Source organism: Homo sapiens, chromosome 10 (assembly GCF_000001405.40).
Source record: "Homo sapiens chromosome 10, GRCh38.p14 Primary Assembly".
NCBI lineage: Eukaryota > Metazoa > Chordata > Mammalia > Primates > Hominidae > Homo > Homo sapiens.
Window position 1 is genome coordinate 106,723,244 of NC_000010.11, and position 24,197 is coordinate 106,747,440.

The following is a 24,197-nucleotide window of genomic DNA, read 5'->3' on the forward strand; positions in this document are numbered from 1 at the left end:
TTTCACACAGCTTTCAATCCAACAGTTTGGTCAACGTTTTCTCTTTAACTATATGCATTACACACACACATACACAAATGCACCTATGTTAGGTAAATCAATAGAATGTAGGTTTCCTTTTTAGTATTTTAATGTACTGGGCTCCTACGATGCACACACACACACACACACACACAGAATATTTAAACAATAAAAGATCTGCTTCATGGATGAGGACCTGTCAATTTGTCTTCTTTGAACTCAGGGGCCAATAATAAATGCCACATCCAATAAATATGTTCAAAAATTTCCAGTAATACCTCCCGTGATTGATTGTAGTTGAGCCTGCTCTTTTCAGCTCACCTCCCAAGGCAGAAAGTAATACAATAAAGAATAACATCCTTGTCACAGATGTAAACTACAAGATATCTACATATTAGAGGATAGTTGGTAAGAAACATCAGTGCCAACCATAGACTCTCACAGAACAAAAGCTTTCTAAAGGATCTAAGATAAAGTACTAGTTTATATAAATAACCACACATTCCTATGCAGACACTTGTTGCTTTGGGAGCAAAGGTTCAGAATCTGTGCCATGGACCCCATCAGCAATCTGAGAAAGCCTGTGGACCCATTTTTTCAGAATGTTTTTAATGCATAAAATAAATTACCCAGAATAGACCAAAAAAAACTAATTCAATTAAATTTAAATAAAGTTATTAAAAGATTAAAAAACAAATATTTAATACCCTTGTATGTACTTTTTAAATTAATATATTATATATCAAGATCTACTGGCAGGTCTGATAACTACTACAATTTTGAGGAAAGAATGAGCATAAATAATATTTTCAGATGTAATGACTGTATTATGATATAAAAATTTCTGTGATTTCTATTGCAACAAAGTCGCTTATATTGCTAATACTACTCGAGTTAATTTCCAACCCTTACAATTGAAAGTAATCTTGTAAGTTATAAGGTTTATAAAAATAAAGATATAAGGCCGGGCATGGTGGCTCACGCCTGTAATCCCAGCACTTTGGGAGGCCGAGGCGGGCGGATCTCAAGGTCAGGGGTTCAAGACCAGTCTGACCAACATGGTGAAACCCCATCTCTACTAAAAATACCAAAATTAGCTGGGCGTGGTGGTGTGCACCTGTAATCCCAGCTACTCAGGAGGCTGAGGCGAATCACTTGAACCCAGGAGGTGGAGGTTGCAGTAAACTGAGATTGCACCATTGCACTCCAGCCTAGGAGACAGAGTGAGACTCCATCTCAAGAAAAAAAAACAAAATAAAATAAAATAAAAATAAAAAAATAAAAATAAAGATATAATTCTTTTTTCTCATGTAAAAAACTAAAGCTTTCCAGAGCTCACCTCCCCTGAAATATGGGAACTTCAATGGAAACAGAAATTAAGTATAACATGTAATCTAGGGACATCTGAAATAGACCAAAACTAAATTTTGAATAACAAACCCAGATAAGAATTCACAACACACTCCATGGGGAAGAGCCAAACTGGCAAGTGGGGGATTTTTCCTGTGTCAAATGTCTCAGTATCTTGACTACAAAATATGTGAACACACTAAAATCAGAAAATAATTTCTGGTTCAAAGTCAAAAACATGATGGCCAGGTGTGGTGGCTCATGCCTGTAATCTCAGCCCTTTAGGAGGCCAGCGTGGGTGGATCACTTGAGGTCAGGAGTTTGAGATCAGTCTGACCAACATGGCAAAACCTCATCTCTACTAAAAATACAAAAATCAGCCAGGTGTGGTGGTAGGTGCCTGTAATCCTAGCTACTGGGGAGGCTGAGGCAGGAGAATCCCTTGAATCCAGGAGGCAGAGGTTGCAGTGAGCTGAGAGTGCACCACTGCACTCCGGGCTGGGCAACAGAGAGAGACTTCATCTCAAAACAAAACAAAACAAAACAAAATAAAAACATTATATTATTGTAAAGTATATTTGGCATATACTCTACAGGATGTACAACCTAGAATAAAAACCATGGGTTCCATATACATAAACAATAATGAATGGGGTCGGGCGCAGTGGCTCATGTCTGTAATCACAGCACTTTGAAAGGCCGAGGCAGGTGGATCACCTGAGATCAGGAGTTCCATACCAGCTCGGCCAACATAGTGAAACCCCATCTCTGCTAAAAATGCAAAAAACCAGCTGGGTGTGGTGGCGGGCACCTATAATCCCAGCTACTCAGGAGGCTGAGGCAGGAGAATCACTTGAACCCAGGAGGCGGAGGTTGCAGTGAGCTGAGATCGCGCCATTACACTCCAGCCTAGGCAACAAGAGCAAAACTCCATCACATACACAAAAATAAATAAATAAATAAATAAATAAATAATAACAGTAATGAATGGATGGAGAAAAAAACAGAGGATCTCAATTAGGAAATGAGAAAGAGGCCAGCCATGGTGGCTCACGCTTGTAATCCCAGTACTTTGAGAGGCAGAGGCAGGCGGATCACTTGAGGTCAGGAGTTCGAGAGCAGCCTAGCCAACACGGCAAAACCCCATCTCTACCAAAAATACAAAAATTAGCCTGGTGTGGTGGTGCACGCCTGGAGTCCCAGCTCCTTGGGAGGCTGAGGCAGGAGGATGGCTTGAACCCAGGGGGCAGAGGTTGCAGTGAGCCGAGATGGTGCCAGTGCACTCCAGACTGGGTGACAGAGTGAGACTCTGTCTCAGGAAAAAAAAAAAAAAAAAATAGGAAATGAGAAAGAGATAACACAGAGATATGAAATTCGTAGTGCAGCTGATGAGACTGTAACCTGATTTTGATAAATACACTGTCAAACTTTGCCCACTACATTTGCTGACACCTTGCTACCCTGACCTCTCTGTGCTATTTACTTCCAACCTCCTCCTCTCTGTTTATTTTGTTGTTGTTGTTGTTGTTTTAACTGGAGCCTTGGTTATTGAGACAATCTCTTTCCCTCTCTTTTTTTTTTTTTTTTTTTTTTACACTGTGACAGGTCAGGTGTTATGCTTGGACCCTTTAAAACAATTGGTAGATTTTTTTTTTCCTGTTTTGTTTCGACAGGGCTAACTTTTCAAATTAAATCCTTTTATTGAATTTTCACCCTTGGATAGTTTCTGAAGATGCTGCCTTCGCAAAAAAAAAAAAAAAAAAAAAAAAAAAAAGTAAAATAAATAAAATTAGAACTGATACATTTCATGCTTTGTGAAAGCTAAGCCTGAGATGACAGTTTGGCATTATCAACCGCCATGCCTTCAGGGAGCACAGGAATAATGCTGGGTGTAAGAAAATGTGCAGATCACAGAGAGTGATGGCCTCATTGTTTTTAGGATAAAGCGTCATGTGCATTGGATGCCACAAGCCAGAAAACAGCAGCATATGCCCAAAAGCTTGAAAATGAAAGCAACCCGGGATGCTACCAATTCCATCCAGAGCTTCCTAAACTAGGGGTGCAATCATGGGAAACAGACCCTCAAGCTCTTTCACTAATTTTCTGTTGTGGAACTTTGCTACTCAAAGCATGTTTCACAGACCCGCAGCATGGATATCATCTAGGAGCTTGTTAGAAATGCAGACTCTCGGCCGGGTGCGGTGGCTCACGCCTATAATCCCAGCACTTTGGGAGGCCGAGACGGGCGGATCACGAGGTGAGGAGATCGAGACCATCCTGGCTAACACGGTGAAACCCCGTCTCTACTAAAAATACAAAAAATTAGCCGGGCGTGGTAGCGGGTGCCTGTAGTCCCAGCTACTCAGGAGGCTGAGGCAGGAGAATGGCCTGAACCTGGGAGGCGGAGCTTGCAGTGAGCCGAGATAGTGCCACTGCACTCCAGCCTGCGTGACAGAGCGAGACTCTGTCTCAAAAAAAAAAAAAAAGAAAAAAGAAATGCAGACTGTCAGGCCCCTACTGAATTACAATGCAGATCTTAACAAGGTCCCTAGGTGGGTAGCATACATGCTAAGGTTTAAGATGTGAGGCTCTAGCATTTTCAGACAACCTGGTAAGTGAGGTGAGATAGCCACTGGTAGCCCTGACAACTGGTCAGCCGGGTATGCCATCATTCAACATATGCTTAGTGAGATCTCTCTACATGTAGATGCCATGGCATGTGCTGGAGACATAATGTTTTTGTTTTGACATGGGATCTCACTATATTGCCCAGGCTGGAGTAAAGTTGCTATTCACAGTTGTGTTCACAGTGCACTACAGTCTTGAACTCCTGGGCTCAAATGATCCCCCTGCCTCAGCCTTCTGACTAGCTGGGACTACAGATGTGTGCTACCATTCCTGGCTCTGGAGACACAATACTGAATATGATATACATGGTCCCTGCTCTCATAAAACTTACAGACTGGTGGCGAGAAACGGTTGTGATCGAATAAACACGTAAAAAGAAAGTATAATTTCAAACAGAGAAGAACATGATAAAGAAAAAAAATAGTTGTATAAAAGCAATCAAAATAAGAAACTCATTTAGACTGAGAGTTTACGAGAGGCTTTTCTAAGAAATAGGCGATTAACCTGAGGTCTCAACCATCCACAGTAATCAATTATGCTCGATTGGTCAGGGTATGGGCAAGAAAGAAGGGTATTCCAGATAGAGAAAACAGCATGTACCAAGGCTTTATGGCAAGACACATACCCCTGTATGTTCCAAGAATTGAAAACCCGCCTAAAGGCCTGCAGGCAACGAGTGAGGAGAGGGCAGACTAAGATTAGGCTGAGGGAATGGGCAGACACAAGTTATGCTGGAGCTATAGGTCAAGATGAGAATTTAGCTCTTTATCATCAAAGCAATGGGAAGTAAGCAAGACTTTTTTTTTTTGAGACGGAGTCTGGCTCTGTCGCCAGGCTGGAGAGCAGTGGTGCGATCTCAGCTCACTGCAACCTCCGCCTCCTGGGTTCAAGTGATTATCCTGCCTCCACCTCCCAAGTCGCTGGGACAACAGGCACGCACCACCACACTCAGCTAATTTTTGTATTTTTAGTAGAGATGGGGTCTCACCATGTTGGCCAGGATGGTCTCTATCTCCAGTAAGCAAGACTTTTAAACAATGATGTGTTTACTTTTGCATTAAGAAAATATTGATCTGTTATGTAGCAAGAACTGGACCTTGGAATCCAAGATAACATCATCTGCTCCAGGGAAATGGAGACGTCACCACCAGAGCGAGCCCCCTGAGGAGGTGGGAAAGCTGCTCTGACCTGTTGAGCTCATTCTGTGTCAGGCACAGTGCTGGGCATGTTACATGTGGCAGCTTTGCCTGGGTTACAGAGGATGATGGTCAGCCTTGATCCCTAACCTGTGCCCCAACTGACTCTGTCAAAAAATATATTCACTCCCCCAAAAGGGAAACAAACCTTTAGAGATGAGAAATCTCATGGTACATGCATAGTAATGAAAAATGTGTGGTTTCTGGGGAGTTTGGGTTATAGGGTTGACCTGCTTTGTTTGGCTGTAAGCTGGTAAAGTGCAGGACCTTCTGCCTTTGTGTTCAGAAGAGCCAAGGACTGGTAGGCACAAACGGCAGTGATTAGGGTGCTTTTGAATTGTGAGGGATATTTTAGAAACTGGGAAGGTCTTGGAAATGAGATGGTCACTCTCTGGGCCAGCGCTGGGTAGCCTACAACAGCCTCATTGCTCTGTGGTAATTGTGGATAGTCCATTCTCTTCCTCTCCTCTACATCTGAGACCTCTTCCTTTCTCCCTGTCTTTTCTCCCCTCACCCTCTTCTATATACAGTTTCCCCCTTTTCTCATTTTCTTTTACCCCCTCACCTGGAGTGCTCTATCCTAGGCCTAGCGGTACCCCTGCAAATGCTTAGCCCTTCTGAGGATCCTCTGTACCAGAGAAGGGGAAGGAAACATTCATTGCTGGTGTTAGTAGGTCAGGCACTGTGTGAAGTATTGTATATGCATGGGTTTCTTGAATTCTCACCTGAATAGGCTCTGTGAGATAGACATCACTGTCCTCTACTTATTTACCATATTAGCTTAGCTATATTATTACTTAAGCTTTCTATGCCTTTGCTTCTTCATATGTGAAATGAGAAAAACAACCTACAACATTGTCATGAGGCTACAAAGTGTAGTCCTGTCCTTCACTGCAGCATAACCACCCGGAGTTGATAAGAACTACTGACAGGTGAGCAATTCACTCAACTGACTCTCCTCCTGCTGCCTCTCATGGGGACACACAGAAAAATTCTCTCTCTCTCTTTTTTTTTTTTTAATTCTTTCCAAGTGTTTTGTGAATCTCCAAACAAGACAGTGAGGCATGGCCTGGATGGTATCTGACAAAATAAGGAGACTGAAGAAACAATTCAACACAAAAGAGTAGCAGCAGCAACAACAATGAAACACTTTAGGAATCAAGAGTTTGGAAGTATTCTCTTTACCTGGAAAGACACTTTGATTGGATGAGAGGGCTGTGCTGGTATCACCACTATCAAAATATGCATATTTCTGGATAACCTATATATTTATATTTACAAATATATGTGAAAATATATATTTATGAAAAATTATTAAGACTATTTTGTATTACTGAAGACAGGAAATGTCTTCATGCCTAAATCACACGATTATTGCCACTGTGCCACTGTGCCTGCCTACCTATCCTTAGCTCTTCCGAACAGAAGATACCTGCACTTTACTAGCTTAGAGTCAAAAGAAGCAGGTCACCCCTGCAACCCCAAATCCTCAGAAACCACACATCCACTATTACTCTGCATACACCATGAGATTATTACACAGACTCAGTTCATGACAGAGTCATAGAACTAATATTACTATGAGTATTGCGGCAAAGTTGATTTACTTACGACCATCCACAGTTCTGGCCTCAAGATGCACAAGGTCTGGTTCTTTATTTGACCCCATCACAGACCTAAAAAATGGAGAAACATGAAAAGAAACATCCATATTAATGACTTCACATGTGCCTTAGTGGAACTCGGCAGAGCCCCCAGACTATTAATATCCACAGGCATCTAAACCCACAATCCTTAGAATATATCTACTCTATGTATTTATACAGCCTGACAGTAAAATTTCCACTTAAAATAAAAATGATAATGAAAACTACATTTGATGAAAGGCAGGCTGCATTCTAGCAAGGATGTTGCATGTTATTAGCTGGGACTTGCATACAGGTCCTACGCATGTTGGGTGTGTACTCTTGCAACAACCCCAGTGACAGTGTATTAAACTTTCAAAACTTATTAGGCAGGCATGCTGCTTCAGCTGGGTGACTTGATCAGCGATTCCCATAGCACACTGATCTAATTAATTTTTTCACTGAAATTTGCCAAACCACCTACGACTGCCCTATGAACAAACCCTGTGACTCAACCAATACAGCAGCAGTTACAGCAGAGTGATGATTCTCTGTATTGTCGAACCCGTGTGAAGAGAAATAGATGCACCTCACTTTCTGATACGTGCCTGAAACCATATGTGTAAGCAAAATAAAAGCCTATTTAAAATGCCTTGGAGACACATATTATTTTGTGTAATCCTGCAGTAAGCTATATTAAATAGAAAATAATTATTATTCTGGAACATAAATAATATGGGCAATCACGCTTTATCTCTAGGATTTTTATACAATGAGATTAATTAAACTTGGGAACATCTGCACTTTTTGAAAAAATCAGGCTTTGCAGAACTTTAATTTATTCCATTTCTACACAGAAAACAGCGAAATGCCTCCAAACTGGTCCCTCTGCCTGCCCCCAGCCACTCAGCCCAGCCACTCAATCAAGGCTAGAAAATGCAGATGTTAAAACTACTTATCCCTGGGCCGGGCGTGGTGGCTCACGCCTGTAATCCCAGCACTTTGGGAGGCTGAGGTGGGCGGATCACAAGGTCAGGAGATTGAGACCATCCTGGCTAACACGGTGAAACCCCATCTCTACTAAAAATACAAAAAATTAGCCGGGCGTGGTGGTGGGGTGCCTGTAGCCCCAGCTGCTCCAGAGGCATGAACCCGGGAGGTAGAGCTTGCAGTGAGCCGAGATCGCACCACTGCACTCCAGCCTGGGTGACGGAGTGAGACTCCGTCTCAAAAAAAAAAAAAAAAAAAAAAAAAAAAAGTACTTATCTCTCCAGAGCCTAGTGCGGTATCCACGACCCTGCACAGACTGGGTCCATCTCACTTTTGCTGCCTCATCTCCTGCCACACTGAAAGATGTTGCCATTGTCTGAAAGTGCCACACTCATTTCCTCGCCCCTCTGTGAGTCTCTAAGCTTCTGCCTTCAGGTTGAGATGCTCTTCTCCAGCTTCACCTAACCCCTGAATCATAGTTTAAGACACAAGTGAAAAGTCACTTCCTCTGTTAAATATGTCTCATTTACGACAGGGAAAGGCTTTTCCTCCGATCAGCAAGTGTTTGTTATAAATCCTGTAAGGTCCTTATCAGAGTTTGTTATAAAGAATTATTTTTGTGTTTTTCCAATATGAAGGCATCCTCTTCCCCCAACAGACACACACACAACACACAAATACAAAAGATACACACACAGAGATACCCAATAAAGCTACTGGAAGGTCTTCTCTTTACACACTTTATATTCATAGATATAGTTCCTGGTATATAACAGACAGTCAAATGTGAAATGAAAGAAGGAAGGAATGAAGGAAAGACTAAAGAAAAGGAAAGAAGTTAGGAGGAAAGGCAGGGAGGACAAGAGGAAGGAGGTAAAGAGAAAGAAAGCGAAGGGGCTATAAAGGTCTGCGGGTTTTCTGAAGTAAGTACATTAATCATTGTCCTAGGGTTATTCCCAGAACTCTACTTACTTAAACTCATTTTTCCAACTCAAAGAAGCTGAGTGGCTAGCTGGCTTAATCACTCTTCATCTGGAGAAAAGAAGTCTCCTTAAAGCCCTGTTATCGCTGTCAATAAGTTTTCTCTGATTGATACATGGCCTGCAATTCAGAGCCTATGCTTGAAACATTAAATCCTACTTTGTTCTTCCCCTAGGAAGCAGATATTTCCTAATAAGGGTCTCATAATTTCCCTCATATAGACATGGGACATGCATTTGCACATTTTAATCACTGGAATCTGCTTGAATCCAGGCAGAAAGTGACCCTTTCATCAGAATTTCAGTTAAGTACTGCAGCGACTACTAGGCTTTGGGTGGTGACTCTCCTCACACTGAAGCATTAACTGGATCCGCAGGTGACCTTTTCTGACAAGACTGCAAGTCATGAGCATTAAAAAAGAAAATGAGCTGCTTGACAAGCCTCAATCCAGAAAGCTCAGCAGTTAACTGTTTTATTTCAAAATGGGCAGTTACATGTTGTTCAACTGTCCACCTTGCCTTAAGTTTCATCCTTGAAATGACTACCACCACTTATTCCCAGGAGAAACGCAGTACCCCAGAAACACAAGGTTAAAACTAGCATGCAAGCCTATCTACTTGGCTTACGGCTAGTGTCAACGGGAGGCAAAATAATTACGCTGGATTCAGTGTAGCTTTCCATGTGCGTATAGTCTCAAATAAATAATAGCAGTAGTTTTTAAAAATCTTGTATTATCTTTAATGGCAAAGCTGTTGTTTCCAGTGACATCTCCCACTGCCTTATCAACAAACAAAAAACAGGCAAGGCCAGGTGCAGTGGCTCACGCCTGTAATCCCAGCACTGTGGGAGGCTAAGGCAGGCGGATAATGAGGTCAAGAGATTGAGACCATCCTGGCCAACATGGTGAAACCCCGTATCTACTAAAACTACAGAAATTAGCTGGGTGTGGTGGTGTGTACCTGTTTCGGGAGGCTGAGTCAGGAAAATCCCTTGAACCTGGGAGGTGGAGGTTGCAGTGAGCCAAGATCACACTGCTGTACTCTAGCATGGGCGACAAAGTGATACTCCATTTCAAAAAAAAGAAAAGAAAAGAAAAGAAAAGAAAAGAAAAAGAAAAAAAAGAGGCAAGAGCAAAACAGAGTTCTCTGTTCTCCCCAAATCTACTGTGGCTAACAAACCTCCTTATTCTGCCTAAATGTTTTCTCATCTATAGTAAAACAATTACAACTACAAAACAAAGCTTTACATATGAAAGTCAAACCACAGTGTTTCCAATGATTTTTATTTGATGATGCCTCACCCCTAGACCTGTGGTCCAAGAGTATCTCTAGCAGTTACAGATGATAAAGAATTATTGCTGCTTTTACTTTATGGCCTAGTGAGTTCTTAATTGCTGAGGCCAATCAATGCTGAATGTCTGTATAAGTGCTGATTTTAACGGTCCTGTCATTGACCAGATACCTTAGAAAAGCATATCATTGCAGTTGACCCAAATGATATCATTACTCTAGCCTATATATGCTGCTAAATTTTAGCTGGAGCTACAGAGTTAGGTAGCATTCTGTGTGTTTTAAGACCAACTATGTGTTTCATCCTCATCCTCATCATTAAACATCACTGTCATCATCATTATAATCATCAAAGAAAAACAGCATCAACATAGAATTTAATACAAAATGAACTCTTCATGGTCTTACTTGCAGAATGAGATCTTGAGACTGATATTCAAGCATCTCTATCCAAAGACGTTGGTAAATCTGACTTCTGGTATTAAGTATAAGGGATTGGGCACCTTTGTTTTATGCCTCTAGATTATCCGACACATATCACTGTCATAGTTCATAATGATTTGCTACATGTCTGCATAAATGACTCTCTTAATACACCGGACTCCCAAAGGCAAGTGTTCTGTCTTTTATCACTGAACTCTCTCTGCTTGCCTAAGTACAGAGAAGCAAGTTTTCTCAGTAAATACATATACAACATTTTTGCACCAGTCAATATTTACTAACATCCAATACAGCATGTTATTCTTTCTGGGACTCAGAACCTCTCTGTAAATATATGATAAAAATTTTGTCTAGGATATTTTAATTATTTAAAAAAAGGCAATAGGTAGATGTATCTTGTGTACCTTTACACTGCCTTTATGTTGAACTAGGAAAATGAACTCCCTTCTTGAAGTGAATTTTATGGAAGGGAAAGGGAGTCTTTCTGTGTACATCCTGGTGTCTGCCTGGGATCTCCTCTCATCCTTCTTCTGCCTTCATAACTCTTATTGCTGTGGCTCAGCTGCAGATGACTGAAGTTGAAAACAGGCTTCTCAGTGGGGGTGCCACTTAAGCCAAGTTGGTTATCCTTTCTGAGACTTTCAGAATGATGAACATACTTTTGCACAGAAAAAATTAGGCCATGTTATAATTGGTGACTCATTTGTCAATCTCCTTTATTGACAGACAGACTCAAACCTTTCTGTACCTCTGTGCCAGGCACCTGCATGCCACAGATAGATTAGCAAAAAGCATTAACTGAATGGCTTTTGAGAAAAGAGAAGTACACAAACCAGCCATATCAGCATGTATTAATTTATCTGTATATGTAACTTTTGTTAAGTTAGTTAACATCTCTGTGCCGTCACTTTTTTAGTCTTTAAAATAAGTTAACATAATTTTTTCTATATTTTTCCTATAATATACATCTTTAAGTACCTAGAAGACTCCTGGCACAGAGCTAGGGCTCAGGAAATACAGTTAATTTATTTCTTCTCTTTTTCCCCCTTTTTATTTCAAGAAATGGGTGGGGGAATATTAATACCTAAGAAATTAAAATGTATGCTGGTATTAAAAAACTCTTGACCAGGCGTGGTGGCTCACACCTATAATCCGAGGATCACCTGAGGTCAGGAGTTTGAGACCAGACTGGCCAACATGGCAAAACCCCGTCTCTACTAAAAGTACAAAAATTAGCCGGGCATGGTGGCGGGCAGCTGTAATCCCAGCTACTCAGGAGGCTGAGGCAGGAAAATCGCTTGAACCCGGGAGGTGGAGGTTGCAGTGAGCCGAGATCAAGCCAGTGCACTCCAGGCTGGGCGACAAGAGCGAGACTCCATCTCAAAAAAAAAAAAAAAATTCTTGACATATCATGGATGCCTTGCTAACAGAAATGATCTATCAAAATTATTGATTGTCATAAGTCAATAGACAAAAAATGAGTCAATGGCTCAGAGATCAATTATATGAATAAATACAATTCAATTATTTATTCATTTATTTAGTCAGTGAAACATTCCAAACCCCTACTATGAAATAAGAATGAGGGCTACATAATTACTGCACTTAAGAGCTTTAGAACTACAGAAGAGGCAGTAACCCAATGAAGAAAGGGTTCTAACATTCAAGGTGCTATTTGAAGACACAGGAGGAATGACCTTTCACCTGCAGATGGAAACCTGGAGGAAAAGCAAGGTCCAGGAACCCTTTGGAGTAAATGAATCAAATCTTCAAGTATATGCAGCAATAGGATCAATGGACAGAAGGAGTGAAGAGCATTCCATTTACAGACAAATAGCAGGTACTGGGGCCCTAGCTCAAAGAAAGGATGACCCATATATGTATCTATTGTAAGTCAATAGGATGGATCCAGTGTTTCCAAAGTAGATTAGCAAAAGAGAACTGAAAAGACACCAGGGGCCCAATCAAAAAGCACCTTTTGTGTAATGCTCAGGTTTTGTATTTGATCCTAAAAGCCATGAGATGGTGCTAAAGAAAGGTAAGCGTATACATTTATAAGCAGGTGAAAAGACTTCAGTCCTGGTCTATGTGTGGTCCTCGCTATTGAGGGAGTATGAGGCGAAGTTGCACAGGTCATCTAGATGAGCTTTGTTGATGAAAACAAGACAAAGCCCATTGCAGCCTCCTACATCTATACTTCCAGTATCTTAAGTAGGTTTTCACATTTAAGAGCTATTTTGAAATAAAACCTAAAGATCACTAAAGACAAGAATATGAATAAAAACAAATCACACTCTGAAATAGTATACCAGTGACATAGCAGCGCAACATCAGCCTTCTGAAATACAATCAGCCAAATGCAGCCTTTGTAGACATTTTCTACAGAGAAACTCAGAAATGTCACTAGTTTATCATTCGCCTGGCATTTTGTCTGAGTTTATACCAGCTTAATATAGTGCCCAATAAATGCTGCAGAGCCACAAAATGTCCTGATGTAGATAACCGCAGAGCAAGTATTACAAAATAAATATCATGATGGGATAGCACCTATTTATTCAGATTCAGAATTGCAGTTAATGGCATATGGGAAGAAACGAGGAGGGACCTGCAGAGGAACAGAGGCTGGAAGGTTGGAGACCCCTGCCTTCCTCTTCATGTTCCCACAGCCCCTCTTCATAAACAAAGTCCATGAGGGCAACAGGTCCTGTCTGCTACCAAAGTGCCTGGCAGGTATTGGCAGTGACATACCTTGGTTTCCTCTCCTACAGTCAAGGGTTTCCCCTTCACCTGCCACTATAATTAGGCCCTCAGAAAAACATCATCAAGATAACCCTGGTTAAAAAAAAAAAAAAAAAAAGATAACCCTGGTTAAGGCCACAGTTTTTGTTTTTGAATAGATCATCTTAGCCTGAGGTCTCGTCTGCGTCCAACACGGGCAAATGGGCCAGATAATCTACAAAGCAGCCGAAGGTGCCATTTAACCTCTCCCTTTAGCCTAAGAAACATGTCTGCTTTCTGCTTTTATTCCTCTGGCCCCCGACACTGTCAGTCACATTGGTTCTCCAGAACCAAAGGTGCCTACTAAAAATAACAAATAAATAGATCAATAGATAAACAGACAGATAAAAACAATGCTTAATCTCCTCAATGCACAATGGCCTACTGAGAATCAGCATTGCCAGCAACCTGAGGCCCTCCACGTGCTGCATTTTGTCATCCTTACTCCCCAAGCCAGAAGCCCAAGTGTTTATTTCTATGATGTCTGCAGCAAAGTGTGTGTGTGTGTGTGCATGTGAGTGTGTGTGTATGTGTAGGTGTCAGGGAGCAAAGTGAGGCACGCAAGTCTGACCTGGAATGAAGAAATACATAAAGCTCAGGAGAGCAGTGAGGAGATGAAGATGTTTATTGAGCAAAGGGCTTGGTAAATAGGACTAAAAGTTTAAACAACAATGTTTAGAAACAAGCAACCTGTCTCTAAAGACATCACAATGACCAGACCTAAACCAGCCAAGAAGAAGCTTTCTGCAGCAGCTCTCCCCTTCCTTTCCCCACTTTCCCTTTTCTAATTTAATGACTTTGCTTTTTCCATCAGTGTTTGCATTTTTCTGTTTCCTTCTTATTTCCCCACTTTTATGCCCCCTCTTTGTCTTTGTTGTTTCTTAAATAAATATTTTTTTTAAAGAGGGGGGTGGTGCAGGCATGGTGGCTCACACACTTTGGGAGGCCGAGGTGGGTGGATCACTTGAGGTTGGAAGTTCGAGACGAGCCTGGCCAACATAATGAAACCCCATCTCTACTAAAAATACAAAAATTAGCCAGGCGTGGTGGCACACATCTGTAATCCCAGCTACTCAGGAGGCTGAGGCAGGCGAATTGCTTGAACTCAGGAGGCAGGGGTTGCAGTGAGCCGAAATCATGCCACTGCACTCCCCTACCCACCCCCACCAAAAAAGGATAAAAGTATGTGGGGGGTCTAGAGAGATACCAGGGACCATGCTCAAATCAGTGCTCCTGATCCCCAAACAAAAATCACAGTGCCAATGAGATACAGAGAAATGCACTTCAACTGATCAAAAAGAGCATGAGATTAAGGTAAAGGAAAAGCTTAAAATATTTTTAATAAGGTTTCTTTTTATCTTTTTAAACTTTAGTGGTATCATACCCTGCATATTTTTAGCAACTTGTTAAATGTACTCAATAATATATCTTGGAGATGGTTCCATACCAGAACAAAAAATTAATGAGATAAATCTCTAACTATTTTATTGCAACCTATTAAATGAAAATATCCGATTTTTTCAGTCGTTGTCTATTGATGGACGCAAAGAAAAAATATACATAAATGGGGAAGAAAAAACTGGAGATACACATTAAAAATTCATAATTGTAGTCACTTTTGGTAGAGTTTGGGGGTTGTGGGTAATAGTCAAAGGGATCCTTATCTTTATCAGTAATTTAAGAACTTTTATAAGGAAGATGTATATATGCGATTGTCTAATAATTAATACAGCTGTACTATTAATAAAAAGAAAATATTCTCCATCTGGAAAATAAAATCTAAGTGGGTAGTAAATGTGAGCAAATCACAAAGGGAGAGAAAAAAGGATGAGTGACATTTCTGTAGGGAGGAGACCTGGGATTTTCTCAAATCTTGAATACTTATAAGTCAGACACCATCTTAGTGAGAGGGCCAGGAAGGTGAAAGCCTAGAAGAGTTGTGGTCAGAGAAGCAGTGCTAAGGACTTCCTGGAGGGGTGTGCTTGTGTTGATGTTAAAATCAGTGTGAGAGGAAGGAGGCTGGAGATCCTGCGTGGGGCCAGAGGGGCCACAGTGACAGAAGACAGGGAGAAGAGAGAACCTCTCCACTTCTCCTCTCTTTATCCATTTCTGTTAAGGACAAAGAACTTCAGACTAGAGGGTAGAACAAATATAAGTTTAAAGGAATTGCTCAGCGCAGTGGCTCACACCTGTAATCCCAGTATTTTGGGAGGCTGAGATGGGAGGATCGCTTGACTCCAGGAGTTTGAGACCAGCCTGGGCAACAAAGCCAGACCCCATCTCTATTAAAAATTTTTAAAAAGGCCAGGCACAGTGGCTCACGTCTGTAATCCCAGGGTCTCACTATACTGCCCCGGCTGGTCTTGAACTCCTGGACTCAAGCAATCTGTCCACTTTGGCCTCCCAAAGTTCTGAGATGACAGGCGTGAGCCGCTGTGGCCAGCCAGGGATTGTTTTAAAAGGCAAGGTTAGTGGACTAGGTATTTGAACTACAGACTCACTATGGATGATCAGAAAGGTTGGGTAAATATTAAAAGTAATAAGAGACCAAGCAAAGAAATAAAAGAATCATGAGGCCAAAAACTGAGAGAAGATGGAAATTCAGAGAAGAAAGTCCAGAGTTTGGCCCACTCTTCCCCTGGGGAAAACTGTCATTGTCTTGGCTGGGCATGGTGGCTCATGCCTGTAATCCTAGCACTTTGGGAGTTCAAGGTAGGTGGATCACTTTAGGTCAGGAGTTTGAGACCAGCCTGGCCAACATGGTGAAACCTCATCTCACTAAAAATACAAAAATTATCCTGGCGTGGTGGCACATACCTGCAATCCCAGCTACTCAAGAGGCTGAGGCAGGAGAATCACTTGAACCCAGGAGGCAGAGGCCGCAGTGAGCCAAGATTGCACCACTGCACTCCAGTCTGGGTGACAGAGAGAGAGAGACTGTCTCAAAAAGAAAAAAAAAAAAAAGGAATTGAAAATTTAAACCAGGCCGGGCGTGGTGGCTCATGCCTGTAATCCCAGCACTTTGGGAGGCCGAGGCAGGTGGATCACGAGGTCAGAAGATCGAGACCATCTGGCTAACACGATGAAACCCCGTCTCTACTAAAAATACAAAAAAAATATATATATATAGCTGGGTGTGGTGGCGAGCGCCGTAATCCCAGCACTTTGGGAGGCCGAGTCGGGCAGATCACGAGGTCAGGAGATCAAGATAATCCTGGCTAATGTGGTGAAACCCCGTCTCTACTAAAAAACACAAAAAATTAGCTGGATGTGGTGGTGGGCACCTGTAGTCCCAGCTACTTGGGAGGCTGAGGCAGGACAATGGCGTCAACCCGGAGGCAGAGCTTGCAATGAGCTGAGATCACGCCATTGAGCTCCAGCCTGGGCGACAGAGTGAGACTCTGTCTCAAAAAAAAAAAAAAAAAGAAAATTTAAACCTGAGCATTTTGCTGCTGGAGATAACCTGACCCCATGGAAATGATATTCTATAAGAGAATTCCAGAACAGCTATCTCCACATGTTTTGTTTGAACACATCAAGCAAGGGGGGGAAATTAGGCACCCCCAATACATGATGGTTTATTAGATATAAGTTGTGGAAATGCAGTACAGTACTTACATACTAACTTTAGAAAATATACACAAAATAGAAACTAAAATCGGAGCAAAGAATAATCAGAAAGTATCTTCTTCCCACACCTCAGTGAATCACCAATTACCCCCCTAGGGTGTGGGTGCAGGTAAGTCACCATGGAGACTGTTGCTCTAAACTGAGGATTCCTGGGATATCCTTAATATTTAACACCAGGCATGGCAGATGGTTGATTCTGAATTAATTTTTTAATGAATAAATAAATAAATTTTTGAATATGTTTACTGAGTAACTACAAATGCTAGGTGTAGTTCTAGACATTAGGGGTTTAAAATTGAATAAAAAAGAAAAATCCCTGTACCTTGTGAAGCTTACAATTCAATATGGAACACAGAGAAATTAAAAATAAACATGTCAGGTGATGCTCATAACATTTCTTGAAAGCTGTGTGAGGAAAAATATATAAAATACAAGGCATTTAGCTCCATCAGAAAAAAAAACCCATTGTTCCCCGGTGTCAATCAATGGCTGGTTTCCATCTATTAAGTGTGAGATTGATGTCATATAGGGCCACAAGGCTGTGCTCTTGTTGGTGTCCTGCTCATCAATTGTCAACAACTTGGGTGAAAATACATGTTGTGTGCCTAGAAAATTCATACATGACACAAATTCAGGAAAAATAATGAAAAGATAAGAGAAAGACAGTGTTATCTCTGAAAGCAATTTACTTGCCTAAGGGCATAGAGCTAATAAAAGATACAATCAGACTGGAACCTAGGCATTCTAATTTCTCTAGGGCTCTATACACCACCTGTAAAAAAGAGTAGAGATAATAGTACCGAATAATACGATTGTTGTGAAAGGTAAAAGACGAAATACGTGTAGCTACTACTACTGTCAAGAGTATGAATCAAGGAATCCTTTAGGGACAGAAAGTCTGTTAGAGATTAACTAGTTCAAATACCTCCTGTTACAATTAAGAAAGCCCAGGCTTCCAGAGAGCAAATACCATGTCCAAAGTCATACCACTCAGAGTGTATCAAGGTTGGAATTACTAACCCAGGTCCTTAACTCATGTCAATAATTCTTTTCATAGAAAAAAAAATTACCCCTTAGTGTCTGAGGCAAGACAGTGTTAACTAGGAAGATAATGTGTGTCTTACACACTAAAAAGATAAGGAGAAGCCAGACGTGATGACTCACACCTGTAATTCTAGCAGTTTGAGAGGCTAAGGCAGGTGGATTGTTTGAAGCCAGGAGGTGAAGACCAGCCTAGCCAACATGGTGAAACCCCGTTTCTACTAAAAATACAAAAATTAGCTGGCGTGGTGGCATGCACCTGTAATCCCAGCTACCTGGGAGGGTGAGGCAGGAGAATCACCTGAACCCAGGAAGCAGAGTTTGCAGTGAGCCAAGATTGCGTCACTGCAATCCGGCCTGGGTGACAGAGTGAGACTCTTTGTCTCAAAAAATAATAATAATTATATATAGAGAGAGAGAGAGTGAGAGAGAGAGAGAATGGAAAATCCTGACATTTCAACATCCTGCAAGCGTTAAGTGTATTGGCATACATGAGCCTAGACATATATGAGGGGTCCCATGTCCCAGAGATTGGAAACAGACTAGATATTAATTTCTTCAGCTTAGACCTTAAATAGCAGGGTTTCTAAGTTTGAAGGTGGCTTTTTTGCAGTCACTTGCAAAATGACTAATACATTCTCTCCCTTCTCAGAAAACACAGTGTCAGTTTTTACACGGACAGCTCAGTGCCTGGCCTGTAGGTAAGGCTGGTTTAGCTATCCTTGTAGTCGCTTTTCCATACTTCGTCAGATTATTATGACACAAAGTCTTCTCTTGCTTTATGGTTGGGTATTGGTACTTCTGCAAAAATACACTAAGAGGCTATTGCCCTCAAATACTTCAACTGAGAAGGAAAAGAGATCCAGTCAGTAAAGCTTGGAAGGGAGTAAGAATAGAATTGGGTTAGATATAGGAGGAAATTAGATTGATCTTCATTGGAGAGGCAATTCCTGGGGTGCGAAATGGCAACTGCTCTCCTTAGCAGAGGTTGAGTATCCCTTATCTGAAGTACTTGGGACCAGAAGGTTTCAGATTTTGGATTTTATTTTTCAGATTTTAGAATGTCTACATATACATACTGAGATATCTTAGGGATGGAACGCAAGTCTAAACACAAAATCCATTTATGTTTTATAACACCTTGTACATATAGCCAGAAGATAATTTTACACAATTTTTTTTTTGAGATGGAGTCTAGCTCTGTTGCCCAGGCTGGAGTACAGTGGCACAATCTCAGCTCACTGCAGCCTCTGTCTTCTGGGTTCAAGTGATTCTCATGCCTCAGCCTCCCAAGTGGCTGGGACTATAGGCGCATGCCACCACACCCGGCTAATTTTTGTATTTTTAGTGGAAATGAGGTTTCACTATGTTGGCCAGGTTGGTCTCAAACTCTTGACCTCAAGTGATCCACCTGCCTCGGCCTCCCAAAGTGCTGGGATTACAGGTGTGAGTCACCACGCCTGGCCAATTTCATACAATACGTTTATTAGTTCTGTGCATAAAACCAAGTTGTGACTGCATTTCGACCAGAACCCATGGCACGAAGTATGGTATGAAATTTCCCACTTGTGACATCATGTTGTCACTCAAAAAGTTTCAGATTTTGGAGCATTTATGGTTGGGGATTTTCAAATTAGGGCTGTACTACCTGTACTTTGTTTGTTGATGAAAAATTTCTGGAGTTCTGAGTATAAGGTGTGAAGGGATTTGAAACTGGGCAAAGACAGGGAAGCTATTTTGTGAAAATAATTTAAAGGCTGTGCCAGTTTGCTTTTGAACTCATGTAAACTCCTTGGCCAAGGAAACTAGTGTGATGACAAAAAAAGAAAAACACACCTCTTAATTTATCTCATTTTGGGGTCTGTTTTTAAATCAGTAGTCCACTATGGATGTGAATTCCTAAAGTTGGTTTTGAAAATATCTCAATGTGACAAAGAAAAGAGAGAAGTGGAGGAGGGAAAGGGAAAGAGAGGGAGTAAAAGAGAACATGGGAAAGAGAGGATAGGAGAATGAGAAGGGCAAATGAAGGCATTGGAGACAGAATGAGGATAGAAAGGGAGGAAAGAGAAGCCAGAGAGAGGAGACTTTCTTCGCTATGACTATTCCACAGGGGTCACCATGCCCTCCTGCTGCCTGGCTGCCACCAGTCCCACCACACCACCATCCATCTGGAAATATGTTTGACTGCTTTATTATTATCATTATTTGTATATTTTATTTTATTGAGAAGGAGTCTCATTCTGCCACCCAGGCTGGAGTGCAGAGCAATGGTGCGATCTCAGCTCACTGCAACCTCCGCCTCCCAGGTTCAAGTGATTCTCCTGCCTCAGCCTCCTGAGTAGCTGGAACTACAGGTGCATACCACCGTGCCTGGCTAATTTTTGTATGTTTAGTGGAGACGGGGTTTCACCATGTTGGTCAGGCTGGTCTCTAACTCCTGACCTCAAGTGATCCACCCACCTTGGCCTCCTAAAGTGCTGGGATTATAGGTGTGAGCCACCGCACCCGGCCTGTATAATTTATTTAAATAGCATGCTTTAAAAATAACACCGCTGTGAAAAATCTGACTGCAAAAGGAGTATGTATTCATTGAAAATATAATACTAAGTATACAGAAGTAAAAAAAAGGAAACTAAAACATTCTTACAATCCCTCCATCTAGAATTAACCACCTTTAATATTTTGCTGTTAATCCTTCAGTACTTTTTCAGTGTTCGTGTAGGCACTCCTTTTTCTTTTTAAGACTTTTGCATCATATCACGAACACAGCGTAACACACGATGTAATATTAGAACACACTGTTTTGCCAGCCGTACAATATTCTATAGTTGACTTAACTAGTTTTCTGATCACAGAGTATTGGTAATATCTATCGTTTTACTTTTATTTATTTATTTATTTATTTACTTGACATAGAGTCTCGCTCTGTCACCCAGGCTGGAGTGCAGTGGCGCGATCTCAGCTCACTGCAAGCTCCACCTCCTGGGTTCACGCCATTCTCCTGCCTCAGTCTCCCAAGTAGCTGGGACTACAGGCGCCCGCCACCAGGCCCAGCTAATTTTTTTGTAGTTTTAGTAGAGACGGGGTTTCACCGTGTTAGCCAGGATGGTCTCAATCTCCTGACCTCGTGATCCGCCCACCTCGGCCTCTCAAAGTCCTGGTATTTCAGGCTTGAGCCACCGTGCCCGGCCATCATGTTACTTTTAGACATGATGCTGCACTGATGATCTTTGTAGGTAAATATCTGTATGTGTCTCTAATCTCTCTAGTTTTTCAATAGGAACAACTGTTATAAGAGGAGATATTGTAGTCTTCCCTTACCCACAAAGTTTAAGTCCATAAGGTATAAGAGTGCTTACAATGTTTAGAATATTTACCTTATGACTATACCATATTTTTCATGTATTTTTTAATTGGTGAATTTAGAACCTTCATTCTTTGTTTTGGGAATTAAAATGACTTAAACACAGAGGTTAGTAGCCTGCTTACAGGTCTGTTTTGTTTTTGGGAGCAGCCAGGCTTGCTTTTTTCCTTGGTTAAGACAGAGGAGAGACAGGAAAAGGTAAAACAGAGTGTGAGTGTGAGTGTGTGCATGTGTGTGTATGTGTATAACATCTTCCTTTTGGAAAAGATGTGTGAGTTGCCCAACTGAACAAAGAGGAAAGCTCAGAACTACTGGGTGAGAACCCCACCTCCATGGTCAACCAAGAAAATCAGTCACAGAGAAAGTGCATTTGCTTCTGACGTCTCCATTCCAGGTCAGACTCTAAAATGCTCCTTAAAAAAAGACCAACAAAAAGTTTATTAGCCAAAAAGTCTTGCCCTTAATTAGTAGGTCAACAGGGATCCTCTTGACAATAGCTCAGAGCCAGGGCAGAGGGACACCTAAAGTGAGAAAGAGATATTAGTAAAGAAACAATAAGGGCCAGGTGCGGTGGTTCACACCTGTAATCCCAGCACTTTGGGAGGCCGGGCAGACCAAGAGGTCAGGAGATCAAGACCATCCTGGCTAACATGGTGAAACCCCATCTCTACTAAAAATACAAAAATTAGCTGGGCATGGTGGCAGGTGCCTGTAGTCCCAGCTACTCGGGAGGCTGAGGCAGGAGAATGGGTGAACCTGGGAGGTGGAGCTTGCAATAAGCGGAGATTGTGCCACCACACTCCAGCCTGGGCGACAGAGTGAGACAACGTCTAAAAAAAAAAAAAGAAAAGAAAAAGAAAAAGAAAAAAAGAAACAACAAAACACAATCTAGAATTGAGCTTATTCACCTTCATTAGCACACTACAGTAATAATTGCTGTAGGCAAGATTGGCTATGAATACTATAGTAGGCAAAACGCATGTTCTCAACGTATCTCTCCAAAATCTTGATCAATTTTCTGGTTATATTAACATATGTTCACACACTTTTTGATACTTATCCTGCCAGGAGTTAGAGCTTAATTCTCCTTCCTTTGAGTGTGGGCTGAACTTAGTTACTTGCTTCCAACAAACAGAGTATGGGACAAGAAAAAGAGTAACTTTTCAATGGAGAAATCTGGGAGCTTCCAACAAATAGAGTACGGGACAAGAAAAAAAGTAACTTTGCAATGGAGAAACCTGGGAGACGCCCCCTTCACCAAGTGATCAAAGTTAACATCATCAGTAATAAGACATATTGATATCTTGTACTCCTTGATATGAGGTGATGAGAAGGGTACATCATTTCTTTGATATTCTTCCCAACAATCTATAACCCTGTAATCATGAGAAAATATCAGACTAACTAACCCAATTTGAGGGGCACTCTACAAAATACCTGACTAGTACTCTTCAAAACTGTCCAGGTCATCAGAGACAAGGAAAGACGGAGGAACTCCTATGGATTTGAAGAGACTAAAAAGACATGAAAAATAAATGCAATTTGGGATTCTGGATTGTACCCTGGGTCAGGAAAAAAAAAAGCGGGGGATATTAGTAGAAAATCTGGAGAAAACCAGACAGTCTCTATTTTAGTTCACTGTTTTTTACCAATGTTAATTTTTTATTGGTAAACATTGCACCATGGTAATGTAAGATGTTAACATTAGGTAAAGCTGGGTGAATAGGATATGGGAACTCTCTGTATTATCTTTGTAATTGTTCTGCAATTCTAAAATTATTTTTAAATAAAAGAGGAAAAAAATCCTATGCCCAAATCTTATTAAGGACATGAATTAGAGCAAAGCCACAATTTCCTACAAAGAGGAAAGTAATCTATTCAGTAAGTCAGCCTCATCACATGGAATGGACTGGTTATACTGTCATTAAAGAAGGTAAACAACTGTATCACTTCAGCTGTCTTATATTTATGATTCAGGCATTTCGACAATCACAAAATAATTAAGCTACTTCATTTTTCAAAAAAGTGTTAAGGTTGTTTTAGTGGCTCTTATTTCTGGGATGTTTTTATTTTTGATTTATTCATAAGTAGAAAACAATGCTGACAGCCAGCGTTCTTATTTATTCTTGGGCTTCCCTGGTTACCACAGACAGAACCTGATAGCAGATGACAACATAAAGATGTTGGGTCCAGGAGCTGCTGAAATGTGAGGTCAAATGTGAGGCTTGTGCCTGATGTGGTTGTCTGCTATGTCTCTTTTGGATTCCTCTCTCTTAGGCATCTCGCTTTCCTTGACTACTCAATTACTCAGGAAGGCCAACTGATCATAGAAGGCAATGGAAGAGCTGGTTTGTTCCCTGGGATGGTGAAGCAGAAGCTATCCCAAGTGCATAAATATTCTAACAGGTTTCATCCTGTCACAATAGAGTCATAAAATTGCTCTGTTCAGCACATGATAATGGCTTTGTAATTCAATTATTGGTAGTATTTGTCTTCTGGGATTTAGCTGCCTTAAACTTCAGCACTCATGTAAAACCCTTTACCATAAATCTCATAAACGCAGGTTCTGTCCCTCACCCCAGGGCACATCTTGCCATGCCTGTGAAAACCTTGACAGCTTTCTCTAAATTATAGAATTGTCCTGTTTAGAGGTGTTGATGTTTTAAGTGCCAGAGTCAACAATAAAAAATAGTGGGACAGCTCCATTTCCTCTAGTTATTCTCTTTAGAGGAAGACAGATCCTGACAGACAGACCAAGTTCCATTCCCAAACCAAAATGATGTTTCCATCCATTTCTCTAGCATTTTTTAGAAGAGATTCCTGCAAGTCATAGGGGGTCAGATGAGATGTCTTCTAAGTTATC

At 41.2% G+C, this 24,197-nt stretch overlaps 1 protein-coding gene across 16 annotated transcripts in view; it reads right to left on the minus strand.

Annotated features, from left to right (window-relative positions):
- Nucleotides 1-24,197, minus strand: part of SORCS1 (sortilin related VPS10 domain containing receptor 1) — a 607,476-nt gene that overhangs the window by 149,581 nt on the left and 433,698 nt on the right. For all 16 annotated transcript variants that reach the window (XM_017015617.1, XM_047424547.1, XM_017015615.3 and 13 more), the window contains exon 6: nucleotides 6,807-6,871. In XM_017015617.1, the coding sequence (XP_016871106.1) occupies nucleotides 6,807-6,871 (65 nt within the window). The remainder of the gene's footprint in view (nucleotides 1-6,806; nucleotides 6,872-24,197) is intronic.